Source organism: Homo sapiens, chromosome 5 (assembly GCF_000001405.40).
Source record: "Homo sapiens chromosome 5, GRCh38.p14 Primary Assembly".
Classification (NCBI taxonomy): Eukaryota; Metazoa; Chordata; class Mammalia; order Primates; family Hominidae; genus Homo; species Homo sapiens.
In genome coordinates, this window is record NC_000005.10 from 140,778,592 (window position 1) to 140,793,105 (window position 14,514).

Consider the following 14,514-nt stretch of genomic DNA (forward strand, 5'->3'; position numbering starts at 1 on the left):
CTTGGAAGAGTGTATTTTGAAATTTTTTTTTTTTGAGATGATGGAGTCTCTCTCTCTCTCTCTCTTTTTTTTTTTTGAGACAGAGTCTCACTCTGTTGCCCAGGCTGGAGTGCAGTGGCATGATCTTGGCTCTTGGCTCACTGCAACCTCCACCTCCCGGGCTCAAGTGATTCTCCTGCCTCAGCCTCCCAAGCAGCTGGGACTACAGGCATGCACCACCACACCTGGCTAATTTTTGTATTTTTAGTAGAGACAGGGTTTCACCATGTTGGCCAGGCTGATCTCGAACTCCTGACCTCAAGTGATCTGCTTGCCTCAGTGTCTCAAAGTGCTGGGATTACAGGTGTGAGCCACTGTGCTCAGCCCGTGATTGTTGAATAGTGTGTTCTATAAATGTCAATTAGTTTCCATTGGTTAGTGATGTTACTGAGTTCTTCTATATTCTTGCTGATTTTCTTTTTAGTTGTTCTGTTATTTGTTGAGAGAGAATTGTTGAAGTCTCCAATTATAATTGTGGATTTATCTGTTTCTCCTTTTAGTTCTATGAGATTTTGTTTCACAGCTCTGTTGTTTGGTGCATACACATTTAGGGTTGCCATGTCTTTTTGGTGGATTGACTCCTTATCATTTATAATTTTCCTCTCTCTCTCTCTCTCTTTTTTTTTGAGACAGGGTCTCACTCTGTCATCCGGACTGGAGTGCAGTGGTGTGATCTCGGCTCACTGCAACCTCCACCTCTCAGGATCAAGTGATTTTCCTGCCTCAGCCTCCCAAGTAGCTAGGATTACAAGCGCGCACCACTACCGCCAGGCTCATTTTTGTATTTTTAGTAGAGAGGGGATTTCATCACGTTGGCCGGGCTGGTCTTGAACTCCTGACCACAAATGATCCACCCGCCTTGGCCTCCCAAGTTGCTGGGATTACATGCATGAGCCACCGCTCCTGGCCTGATTTTCCTCTATATACCGGTAGTTATCTTTGTCTTGAACTCTATTTGATAGATGCTTCTGCTTTCCTTTGATCACTTCTGACTAAAAAATTAAAGTTGAGCAAATTTCTCCTCAATGGGTCCAAAACCATTGCACCTAGATCAGCTGCAGATGAGAACTGAGTTTCCATGGAAATTTTAAACAATGGGATCAAGATTCTGAATACTTTCTTTGGAGAACTGTAACAGGAGATGACACATGGCTTTAGCAGTATGATCTTGAAGACAAAGCACAATCAAAGCAATGCTACCAAGAGGTGCAAATGGCCTAGTCAAAGTAAAAGCAGGCTGGTCAAAAGCAAAGGTCCCAACACACACAAAAAGCAAAGGTCATGGCAACAGGTTTTGGGGATGCTCAAGACATTTTGCTTGTTGATATAGCTTTTACATTTTTAATTTTAATCTCCCTGTATTTTTATATTTCAAGTGAGATACTCATAGGCAGCATGTAATTGGGTCTTTTTTTGATTCACTTAGTCAGTTTTTTTTTCTCTTTCTTTTTCTTTTCTTTTCTTTCTTTCTTTTTTTTTTTTGAGACAGGGTTTTGCTCTGTCACTCAGGCTAGAGTGCAGTGATATGGTGTTGGCTCACTGCAGCCTTGATCTCTCAGGCTCAAGTGATCCTCCCACCTCACCCTCCTAAGTAACTGAGAGTACAGGTGCATGCCACCATGTCCAGCTAATTTTGTTTATTTTTTGTAGAGACAAGGTCTTACTATGTTGCCTAGGTTGGTCTTGAACCCCTGGGCTCAAGAAATCCTCCCACTTTGGCCTTCCAAAATGTTGGAATTACAGGCACAAGCCTCTACACCTAGCCTAAGATTTTTTCTTTTTCATTTATTTTCAAAAGTTTGCCTGTTATATGCCTTGGTGTGGAGTCTTTGGAGTTCACTCACCTCTCTATATTGTTTATCAAATTTGGGAACTTTTTAGCCATTTTTTGAGTTATTTTTAGCCTTGTCTCCTTTGCCTTTTCTTTCAGTACTCCACTGACATGAATGTTGGAGCTTTTGTTAAGTTCCCACATGTCCCCAAGGTACTGTTCTTTTTTATTCTTTTAGTCTATTTTGTTGCTGTTTTTCAAATTGCGTAATTTTTATTTATTTACTTATTTGTTATGTTTTTAGAGATGGGGTCATGCTCTGTTGCCCTGGCTGGAGTGCAGTGGCATGATCATACTGCACCATAACCTCAAACTCCTGGGCTTAAGCAATCCTCCCACCTTCACCTCCCAAAGTGCTGTGATTACAGGTGTGAGCCACTGTGCCCTGCCCAGATTCAGTATTTTCTATTTTTCTTTTAGTTTCCTTATTCTCTTTTTTGACCACTCCATTCTTCTATTTGGGTTTTTATTTTGGTTATTGTACTTTTTTCCAAAATTTTCATTTGGTTCTTTTCATCATCTATTTATTTGCTGAGACTTTCTGTTTCATTGCTGAGGGTTTCTATTTTTTTATTCGTTTCAAGCATATTTGCAATTGCTCATTGAAGCATTTTCATGGTGACTGCTTTAAAATTTTTATCACAGAATTCTAACAGCTCTTTCATCTCATTGTTGGCATTGGTATGTTATTTTTTAAATTTAATTTATCTTCTTGGTTATTGGAATAATGAGTAATTTCTTCATATTGAAACTTGAACATTTTTATATCATGTTTTGAGACTCTAGAGCTTACTTATTCTATTTTAGCTAGTTTCTCCTGACACTGTTCTGTCAGAGAGAGCATTGGCACTACCTCATTACTGTCACTTGAAGATAAAGCCCAAGTTTCCCATAGGCCTACATTGACAAATGCATGGACATGTCCTCTATACTTCTAGGTGGGGTGGAAGTTTTGGCCCCACCATGTGTTCTCCATAGACACTAAGGTAGAGATGCCCTTGTTATCACATGGTGAAAGGTCTTGGCTCTCCACTAAAACCTCCTCTGACATCACCTGATATGGTTTGGATATTTGTCCTCTTCAAATCTCATGTTGAATTGTGATGCCTAATGTTGGAGTTGAGGCTATCAGGAGGTGTTTGGGTCATAAGAGTGCATCCCTCATGAATGACTTGGTGCTATTCTTGGGGTAGTGAGTGAGCTCCCACTCTGTGAGTTCACACAAGATCTAGTTGCTTAAAAGAGTGTGGTATCTCCTTCCTTTTCCTCTTGCTCTCTCTCTAATCATGTGATATGCTGGTTTTCCCTTCGTGTTCAGCCATGATTGGCAGCTTCCTGAGGCCTTCACCAGAAGCAGATGCCAACACCCTGCTTCCTGTACAGCATGCAGGACCATGAGGCAAATAAACCTCCTTTCTTTATAGATTACCCAGTCTCAGATATTACTTCATAGCAACACAAAATGAACTAATACAGAAAATTGGTACCAAAGACTGGGGTGTTCCTATAAAGATATCTGAAGATGTGGAAGCAGCTTTGGAGCTGGGTAACGGGCTGAGATTGGAAGAATCTGGAGGTCTCAGAAAAGACAGGAAGATGAGGGAAAGTTTGGAACTTCTTAGAGACTTGTTAAGTGGTTGTGACAAAAATGCTGATAGAACTATGGATAGCAAAGGCCAAGCTGATGAGTTCTCAGATGGAAATTAGGAATTTATTGGGAACTGGAGCAAAGGTCACTCTTGTTATGCCTTAGCAAAGAACTTGGCTGCATTGTGTCAATGTCCTGGGGATTTATGGAGGGTTGAACTTAAGTATGATTACCTAGGATATCCAGTGGAAGAAATTTCTTTCTTCTTTTTTTTTTTTTTTTTTTTTAAGGCGGAGTCTCGCTCTCTAGCAGGCTGGAGTGCAGTGGCACAATCTCGGCTCACTGCAAGCTCCATCTCCCGGGTTCATGACATTCTTCTGTCTCAGCCTCCCGAGTAGCTGGGACTACAGGTGCCTGCCACCACGGCTGGCTAATTTTTTTTTTTTGTATTTTTTTAGTAGAGACAGAGTTTCACCGTGTTAGCCAGGATGGTCTCGATCTCCTGACCTCGTGATCCACCCACCTCGGCTTCCCAAAGTGCTGGGATTACAGGCATAAGCCACTGCGCCCAGCCAGGTGGAAGAAATTTCTAAGCAGTGAAGCATTCAAGATGTGTCATGGCTGCTTCTAACAACCTATGATTAGATATGGGAGCAAATAAATGACTTAAAGTTGGAACTTATATTTAAAAGTGAAGTGGAGTGTAAAAATTTGGACAAGTCACAACCTGGCCACGTAGTAACAGAAGGAAAAAGCATTTTCAGGAAATAGATTCAAGAGGGCTACAGAGAAACCACTTGCCATGGAGATTAGCATGACTAAAAGGGAGGCAAGTGCTAATACCTAAGATAATGGGGAAAAGGCCTCTAAGCCATTTCAGAAATCTTCCAGGTAGTCCCTCCCATCACAGATCCAGAGACCTAGGAGGAGAGAATGAGTTTGAGGACCAGGCCCAAGGCCCTGCTGGCATGTGAAGCCTTGGGACACTGCTCCCAGGATCCTGACTGCCTTGGCTCCAGCTGGTACAGGTACAGGCCACAGGTACAGCTCTGGCCACTGCGCTGGAGAGTGCAGGCCACCATAAACCTTGATGGTTTCCACATGGTGTTAAGCCTGTAGGCGCACAGAATGCAAGTGTGAAGGAGGCTTGGCAGCTTCCACCTAGATTTCAGAGGATGTATCAGAAAGCCTGGATGCCTAGGCAGAAGCCTGCCATAGGGTGGAGCTCCTGTAAAGAACTTCTACTAGAGCAATTCCCAGGAGAAATGTGGAGCTGGAGCTCTCCCACCGAGTTTTCACCAGCATACTTTCTAATGGAGCTGTGGGAAGGGGGCCGCTATCCTCTAGATCCGAGAATAATATGAGAATGCCACCAGCAGCTTGCACCCTGAGCCTGGAGAAGCTGCAGGCATTCAATTCCAAGCCATGATATCAGCCATGGGTGTTGCACCCTACAAAGGCATGGAGGTGGGGCTGCTCAATGCCTTAGGAGTCTGCTCTGTGCACCAGTATGCCCTGGATGCAGGACATGGGGTCAATAATTATTTTGGAGCTTTAAGATTTAATGTCTGCCCTGTGTGGTTTCAGATTTGTGTGGGGCCTGTTCCTTTCTTTTGGCTGTTTTCTCCCTTTTAGAATGGAAATGTTTACCCAATGCAATGCCTGTACCACCATTGTATCTTTTTTTTTTTTTTAAATCTTACAGGCTCTTAGGTAGAAGGAACTTGCCTTGAGTCTCAGATGGGACTTGGGACTTTTGATTGAGTTGGTGCTGGAACAAGTTAAGACTTTGGGAGAACTATTGGTAAGGAATGATTGGATTATGCAATGTGAGAAGGACATGAGATTTGGAGGGCTGGGGTGGAATGATATGGTTTGGATATTTGGCTCCTCCGAATCTCTTGTTGAAAAGTGATCTCCAATGTTGGAGGTGAACCTAGTTGTGGGTGTTTGTGTCATGGGGGCGGATTCCTCATGAATGGCTTGGTGCTTGGTAATGAGTGAGTTACCACTCTATGAGTTCACATGATATATATTTTTTAAGAGTGTGGCACCTCCTCCCTCTCTCTCTTGTTTTCTCTCTCTCTTACCATGAGCTATGCTGGCTCCCCCTTTGCTATCAGTTGTGATTGGAAGCTTCCAGAGGCCCTCACCAAAGGCAGATGCTGGCACTATGCTTCTTACGTAGCCTGGAGAACCGTGAGCCAAATAAACCTCTTTTCTTTATAGATTACCCGCCTCAGGTATTCCTTTATAGCAATGCAAAATGGACTAATGCACCACCCCAGCAGAGAGGGGGAGGTGGCACCGTGTTATTTTCTGCACAGTCCAGGCTGTCCACATGGTCTCCTCTGATACCACAACTGTGGAGCTTGCTAGCAGTTGGGGGAATGAAAGTCTCAGTTTCATTTTTTGGCCTGATCTGATACCACCAGAAGTATTGGGATTCCTCATTAACAGCTTTGCAAGAGCGTTAATCTAGATTCCCCACTCAACTTTTGCTGGTGTGGGGCCACAGTTTTTTTCTGTGGTGATTACCTGGAGTAAATGATTATCTAGGAGCTTTTTGTCTTGCTAGGCTGCCTATTTCCTGGTCCTTTGTCTAGAGAAAGCATGCTTTTTTTTTTGAGCTTTTTGCATCAGTACCCAATAATGTTTCTGGTTGTTGGCTTCTTCTGGTCCAAGTCTGGAATAGATAAGGCAAAAACCCAGAGATTTCACCACTGTGTCAGTCTTCAAAATTTATAACACTTTAAAGTATTTTGCACTTCCAAATGTTGACAATGTTCTCTAAATCTGCTAACCTTTAGAATGTTTCCAAGTTTAAAGTTTGCTTCACTTTTAGACTAAGAGAATATTCATGTATCTTATGTTGCTCTATCTTTTGTAATAAAGTAATTACTACATTGAACTGTTAAAATATATAAACTGCTTGTTAAAAATAAAATAGCTCCATGTTTTGTCTATATCTTAATTATCAAGTAAACAAGGATTTAGGCTTTCTGATTATGAAGACATACTGGATTAAATAATCCTTATTCACATTAATGTCCTTAACTATTCTTAGTACTTAAAATATAAACATTATGGCCATTCCTTTAAAAAAAAACTAGTGATAGCTTATTCTGATCACATTTCTTAGTCAAACTAAGATGTAGCTATGGGATTCTGATTATGAATTGGACTGAAATTGAAAGAGAGGTTTATTAATAGGTAGGTTATTCTCAAATTATTTTTTAAATATATCTTTGCATAAGATTTACATTTTTCTTTTGACTATGGATTATATAAAGATTCTCAGTACGTGTCTCTGATATTGCGATTCAATATCCATATGATTTTTGTTGTAATATGACAATGTTTGGTCTTGATAAGAAAAAAGCATGGATGAAAATTTAACATAGGAATAAAAGATCTAGTGGACACCGATTCAATTAGGAATACTGAGTTTTGGAAGTCAGAGTTATAAGTTCAATACTTAGGTCATTATGTTATATAACAACAAGGGAAAATGTCACAAATATCTTTATTCTAACAGTTAAAGTATCAGAAAATGATGAAGTTGTTCATACCACATTAAAGGAATTTTACATGTGTTCAGAAATTTTCCAAAAATGTCATCTGTAAGTACCTGATAACTATATATACATGTGCATATGTACGTGTGTGTGTATAATATCATTTAAAAAAAAACACCCAAGCTATCCTAGAATAAGGTGAATCATATCAGTCAAACTACCTTATTTTAAAACTTTGACATTCAGTTGCAAATATTTAATAATAAAAATATATAAGCTGATAAATCGTTTTAAATAAAATGATGTAAGGAGAGGTTAAGTAGATCTTAAAGTTTCTAATTCAATTGTAATATGTTTGTAATCATTACTAAAAGAAAATACTGGATTACACACTCTCCAATGAGATTTGAAATGTTCTGGGTCTTAAAAGGACATAAAATTGAAAATGATTGCATTTAACAAATTGCAGACGGATATAGATTGCATTTTGAAAATCAACGAATGGATCTAAAATTTACATTGGCCACATGATGTCGCTGTACACCACAAAGTCTTGTCAATAGAAGGGAGCTACTGATCACTAAAAGTGAAGGAGGAAGCTCCATTTTGTCACCGCCTGAGAGAAGACAGAAACGGTAAAGAGATAAATGATTGGAAATATTAGATAAAATGGCATGATTTTGAAGTAAGAGGAGAGCATAAGAAAGGTGTAGTCCTTTTGCAATGGTGTTTTCTAGGAGAGGGGGCCTGGGAGCCCGGGATCTGCTTCTTTGGCTTCTGCTCCTCGCAGCCTGGGAGGTGGGGAGCGGCCAGCTCCACTACTCGATCCCGGAGGAAGCCAAACACGGCACCTTCGTTGGCCGCGTTGCTCAGGACCTGGGACTGGAGCTGGCGGAGCTGGTGCCTCGCCTGTTCCGGGTGGCGTCCAAAACACACAGGGACCTTCTGGAGGTAAATCTGCAGAATGGCATTTTGTTTGTGAATTCTCGGATCGATCGCGAGGAGCTGTGCCAGTGGAGCGCGGAGTGCAGCATCCACCTGGAGTTGATCGCCGACAGGCCGCTGCAGGTTTTCCATGTGGAGGTGAAGGTGAAAGACATTAACGATAATCCACCCGTCTTCAGGGGCAGAGAACAAATAATATTTATTCCTGAATCTAGACTCCTGAATTCGCGTTTTCCGATAGAAGGAGCTGCTGATGCAGACATTGGTGCTAACGCTCTTCTAACGTACACGCTCAGCCCGAGTGATTATTTCTCTTTGGATGTAGAGGCAAGTGATGAACTGAGTAAATCTCTTTGGCTTGAATTGAGAAAATATTTGGATAGAGAAGAAACACCAGAACTTCACTTATTACTGACTGCCACTGATGGGGGCAAACCGGAGCTGCAAGGTACAGTTGAGCTGCTGATCACCGTCCTCGACGTTAATGATAACGCCCCACTGTTTGACCAGGCCGTATACAGAGTCCACTTGTTAGAGACTACAGCAAATGGAACATTAGTGACCACATTAAATGCCTCTGATGCTGACGAAGGTGTAAATGGTGAAGTCGTCTTTTCCTTTGACAGTGGTATTTCTCGTGACATTCAAGAAAAATTCAAAGTTGATTCCAGCTCAGGAGAAATTAGGTTAATTGATAAACTGGATTATGAAGAAACAAAATCCTACGAAATTCAAGTAAAGGCAGTTGATAAAGGAAGTCCTCCGATGTCAAATCACTGTAAGGTTTTGGTGAAAGTGCTGGATGTAAATGATAATGCTCCAGAACTGGCGGTCACTTCATTGTATTTGCCTATCAGAGAGGACGCTCCACTCAGCACCGTCATCGCCCTCATCACCGTGTCTGACCGTGACTCAGGTGCCAACGGGCAGGTGACTTGCTCCTTAATGCCCCACGTCCCCTTCAAGCTGGTGTCCACCTTCAAGAATTACTACTCGTTGGTGTTGGACAGCGCCCTGGATCGCGAGAGCCTGTCGGTCTATGAGCTGGTGGTGACCGCGCGGGACGGGGGCTCGCCTTCGCTGTGGGCCACGGCCAGGGTGTCCGTGGAGGTGGCCGACGTGAATGACAACGCGCCTGCGTTCGCGCAGCCCGAGTACACAGTATTCGTGAAGGAGAACAACCCGCCGGGCTGCCACATCTTCACGGTGTCTGCGCGGGACGCGGACGCGCAGGAGAACGCGCTGGTGTCCTATTCGCTGGTGGAACGGCGGGTGGGCGAGCGCGCGCTGTCGAACTACGTGTCAGTGCACGCGGAGAGCGGCAAGGTGTACGCACTGCAGCCCCTGGACCACGAGGAGCTGGAGCTGCTGCAGTTCCAGGTGAGCGCGCGGGATGCGGGCGTGCCGCCTCTGGGCAGCAACGTGACGCTGCAGGTGTTCGTGCTGGACGAGAACGACAACGCGCCGGCGCTGCTGGCGCCTCGAGTGGGTGGCACTATTGGTGCAGTCAGTGAGCTGGTGCCGCGATTGGTGGGTGCGGGTCATGTGGTGGCGAAGGTGCGCGCAGTGGACGCCGACTCGGGCTACAACGCGTGGCTGTCCTATGAACTGCAGCCGGCAGCAGGCGGCGCGCGCATCCCGTTCCGCGTGGGGCTGTACACGGGCGAGATCAGCACGACTCGTGTCCTGGACGAGGCTGACTTGTCGCGCTACCGCCTTCTGGTGCTAGTGAAGGATCACGGTGAGCCGGCGCTGACAGCCACGGCCACTGTGCTTGTATCTCTGGTGGAGAGCGGCCAGGCGCCAAAGGCGTCTTCGCGGGCGTCGGTGGGTGTCGCGGGCCCAGAGGCGGCGCTGGTGGATGTCAACGTGTACCTGATCATCGCCATCTGCGCGGTGTCCAGCCTGCTGGTGCTCACACTGCTGCTGTACACGGCGCTGCGGTGCTCAGTGCCGCCCACTGAGGGTGCGTATGTGCCGGGCAAGCCCACTCTGGTGTGCTCCAGCGCGTTGGGGAGCTGGTCGAACTCACAGCAGAGGCGGCAGAGGGTGTGCTCTAGCGAGGGCCCACCCAAGACCGACCTCATGGCCTTCAGCCCAGGCCTATCTCCAAGTCTTAACACGTCAGAAAGAAATGAACAACCAGAAGCAAATTTGGATCTTTCTGGTAATGTAAGTCCAACTTTCGAGTTTTGGCTTTAAATATTTTTCATATTTAACTTGTCTAATCATCTTTTCAAATATCACTTTAAAAAATGTCTTCAAGGTGTTCACTAACGTTGAAATAAATCATACCATTGAATGTAGATATCCTATTAATGGCAGTTTTGTCTTGAATGGAACTAGAAAGCAAAGAAAAATGTAGGGACAAATTGTCGTATTTCTTGATTTAAATGGCAGGTTAAAAAAGCTACAATACAAGGTACAATAAAAGGTAATGTTGGTCATATTTAACACAATATCTCAATGTAGTAAAATAACAGTGACATATTCGGGGTAACTTATTATGTTATCTTTTCTGGTGAAATGTCAAGCCCCGGACAAACAATTCTTGACAAAGTTACAGAAATCATCTGCCTTCCCTTTACGTGGCTAAGTTTCAAAGTGAACAATAAACTGAAGTTTTAAGCAAACGTAATTTAAAATACATTTATTGGCTGGGGGCGGTGGCTTATGCCTGTAATCCCAAAACTTTGGGAGGCCGAGGAGGGCGTATCACCTGAGATCAGGAGTTTGAGACTAGCCTGGACAACATGGTGAAACCCCGTCTCAACTAAAAATACAAAAACATTGGCCAGGCCTGGTGGTGGGCGCCTGTAATCCCAGCTAATGGGGAGGCTGAGGCAGGAGAATCGCTTGAACCCGGGAGGCAGAGGTTGTAGTGAACCGAAGTCGCACCATTGCACTCTAACCTGGGCGACAGAGTGAGACTCTGTCAAAACAAAAACAAAAACAAACCAAAACCGACCAACCAAACAAACAAAAAACACCATTTATTGGGCGATTTGTTTAATTTCTTTATGAAAACATACAACCACGACTTCATTGTCATTGTGAACAATTTCCTGATGCCATTAACCTTGAATTCCCCTGGGTCTAGAAGGCTTAGCATTGCATGTATTTGCTATTTCGGGGATCCAGTTAGGAAACACTTATTAAGCACCTCCCATTCCTCCCATTCACTCACAAATGTTCTAAAACCCTTTACTTTTTTAGCTCATTCGATCCTTCCAACGATTTTATGAAGTGAAGACTTTCGTCACATTTTGTGGATAAAGGTGCTGAGGCTCGCAAAACCTAAGTTCAGTATTATTACTAAGTTTTCTTCAAATTTCCCGAGGATATCCAAAAACTTGCTTGCTGTTAATACAGTTCTTTACCTTTCCTAAAATGTTTAAGGTGGCTTACAGTGGAAGAAATTTGTGAAAGCAAATTATTAAAAAATCTGCTTAAGGTCAAAGTAAAAGATCAAGAGAAAGGTGGGAGTCATTATTTCAAAAATCAAGCCTAGGCTGAGTGAAAATCCCAATACTTACCTTCCTGTAAGTCAATATAGAAGTATGAAAAAATAACAATAAAAGGAAATTCTCTATACCATTTCTTCAAGAGAGAAAAAATAGCCTCTTCCTGCTACAAAATCAAGGAAGATTTGATTACTGATGATTGTGTAAAGGTTGAGAAATATACTGGGCAGCACGTTTTATAGCAGTTTTGCAAAACCCACGGAAATATCCTTGATGTAGACATCATTGTATTTGGTAGTCATTCAGTCAAGGGCATAATGTTAAATTTTATTTCCTATGTTTGCTTCTGAAGTTACTTAAATATTAAATGAATATATTTTTGTTTGTCAAACTTTCAAACATACATGAATGTCCCCTTGTGAAGACATTCTATGAGAAATTAATATAATTTGCTAGTTAAGTTTCCAGAGATTTGAGTTGATACAGAGTTGTTGCTTAGAGTATTGTAAAAAATAGGCTGTAAACATGTTCTGTAACTTTTAATATATTATCGTACTCAGCCTTTTGGCAAGAATCAGAAAAAAATAATCTTAGCATCACGTTGCCAAGAAAATGTCCCAGTTCCTCAAAATATGAGACAAACTTTGCAGGATTATAAAATTGGAAAAAATAGATCAGAAAATCACAAAATAATTTCTCTTTCCAATTCACATTACTGTGTCCCCAAAGCTTCATTTGCTAACAGTATTAATGGCCAGGCTTAGGATTGCCTTTACATACATTCAATATTTCTTTATTTAGTTTTCTAGGTTAGTTGAGTGTATTAACCTGAAGGTGAATCACAAATAATAGTGAATTACTATTAAACCAAAAATAAATGGGCGTAGGAGTACAAAATTTGAAAAGTAATTTTTATGAAAAGGTAATTCTAGAATGGAGGAAAAAATGATTGTGGAGTGGTATTGTCACTTAGTGTTTATTTTAATGTAAATATGAATGGATTTCCCATTGGTAGTTAAAGTTCTTGCTCCATTCCAAATCTTCATATAGTTAACACAACTTTCAACAGGTTTATCTTTCTTCACAAGATTTCATCCACAAACTAGTAAGGTATCATTTGAGGGACCTTAGAGACTTGTGGTCAGTGAAGGATGCAAATAGATGAAAATGAGAAATAGTTTATATTGCTAGCCACTACCGATATTCCTCTGAGAATGCTGGAGGATTTCACTTTTCTGTTATTTTGAGGTAGCACGATTGTGTAATTTCCTTTGGCCAATGAAATGTGAATGGTGTGTCACTTCCAAGCAGAATTATGTAACTGCCAGTGAAAGACTCTTCTGCTATCTTTTCCTGTTACAGCAATTACATAAGCACTGGTTGATACTGAGACACCATAAAGTCAAAGCAATCCAGGATGCTGAGCCAACATGTGGAGAAAAGCTGTCATAGGAAGTCCCCAATAACTACAAAGGACTCTGCAGCAGCAAGAAATAAAATTATGTTTATTTTAGAGGAAAAACTGAATGTTAACTCACAACAGCATATGTATTGAGGTCCCACTGCCATTAAGCTAATATGAACCAGATAAATTTTAAGAGGGGGGCATTTTTTTTACAACAGGAAATACAACTGTAGGAGAACATTATTGTTGACACTTTTTACTAAGACATCTGACCGTTAAGCAGATTAGATAACTTGAATTCCATGGAAAAAATCTACTGTGTTTTGATTTCTTTTTCTTAAATATAAAAGGTAGCAGAAGAAAAATAATAAACTGAAATTTAAAATGTCATAGATATTCCTTCTTTTTTCTTGCTTAGCATCCACTCCCCTTGTTGTTTTTTTCTTCTGGGGTCTTCTAGTAGTTTTGTGAAAGACTAGGTTGAAGGTTTTGCAAGAATGAGTGCTTGGACATGTAAACGTTAAGGGATATACAGTTCCATAGATAGGTGCAAAGGGTATAATTTTAGCAATGGGTACTATATTAATTTCCTTGGGCTGATGCAACAAATTACCACAGACTTGGTGGCTTGAAATAACAGAAATTTATTTTCTTACAGAGTCTCTGTAAGAATAAATTTCTTCTCTCTTATGGAGGCCAGAAGTCCAAAATCAGCGTGTTTCCTGGGCCGCATTTCTTCTGAAGACTTTAGGGGAAATTTTTTTCTTGGATCTTCCAGCTTCTGGTAGCTCTTGGCATTGCTTGGCTTGTGGCAGCATAACTCCAGTTCCTGCCTCTGTCTTCACATTTCCTTCTTTCCTGTGTTACTATATGCCTTCTCTTTTTCTGTCTTTTATAAGGGGCAACCATCATTGGATTTATGGCCTTCTGTAATCTAGGATGATCTCATATCAAGATCCTCATCTTTGTTACATCTGCAAAGACCTTTATTCCAAATAAGGTCACTTATTTAAACCTCAGAAAAGTGATGTCTTTTGGGGTATCTTTGACCCAAAACAGGTACCAAGAGATATCAAGTGCAGTGGGAGGAAGGATATTTGCTGAGCATGGCTTCTTAATCTCTTTTCCCCGTTGTGGGGGAAATGTACTTGCATATCTGGCAATAGTATTCTATCTCCGGGGGAAGGGGGAAATATTCCATATTCTCAGAAATCCTAAATAACAGCACAAAATGCCTCTTATACCCCCACATATGTCATTCTGAATATCCGGTATAATTAATTACCTTATATGATTGCAGAAATTGTCTCAAGCAAGCCATGTTTCCTGAAGCTAGCATCTGGATTCTAGGTATAATTCCTTCTATGTGTCAACAGTGGTCAATGTTGGCTATAGATTAAATAATAATTACTGGGTATCATACATATGCAATTGCTTTGCAACTACATAATGCTGTAACGAGCAGTTCTGAAGCTATCTGCCATCTGTTTAAGCTCCAGGAGAATTTGGGTACATGCCATGACCTCCACTTTTCAGTTCACATAAAAACCAACCTCCCACTTTTCAGTTCACATAATTTAGGTGGAGCTGATTTCATTTCCTGGCTTCAAGAATGAGCAAGTGGACCCATGTCTAGCCAATGTGAGAAAAATCACAATTATTGACTAAAGGAAATTTACATCATCCAAACTGGGCTGTAGGAAGTAATATCCAGGATTTTTGCT

General features: G+C 41.7%; 1 protein-coding gene and 1 further gene across 3 annotated transcripts in view; both read left to right on the forward strand.

Annotated features, from left to right (window-relative positions):
- The window catches only part of PCDHA@ (protocadherin alpha cluster, complex locus), a 226,209-nt gene continuing 219,239 nt past the window's right edge, over positions 7,545-14,514 (forward strand).
- The window catches only part of PCDHA1 (protocadherin alpha 1), a 226,208-nt gene continuing 219,242 nt past the window's right edge, over positions 7,549-14,514 (forward strand). The window contains exon 1 of one of the 3 annotated variants that reach the window (NM_018900.4): positions 7,549-10,093. In NM_018900.4, coding sequence (NP_061723.1) covers positions 7,700-10,093 — 2,394 coding nt within the window. In that variant the 5' untranslated portion in view covers positions 7,549-7,699. Of the gene's footprint in view, positions 10,271-14,514 lie in introns of those variants that run through there. The other 2 variants (NM_031411.3, NM_031410.3) reach the window with 2 other exon arrangements.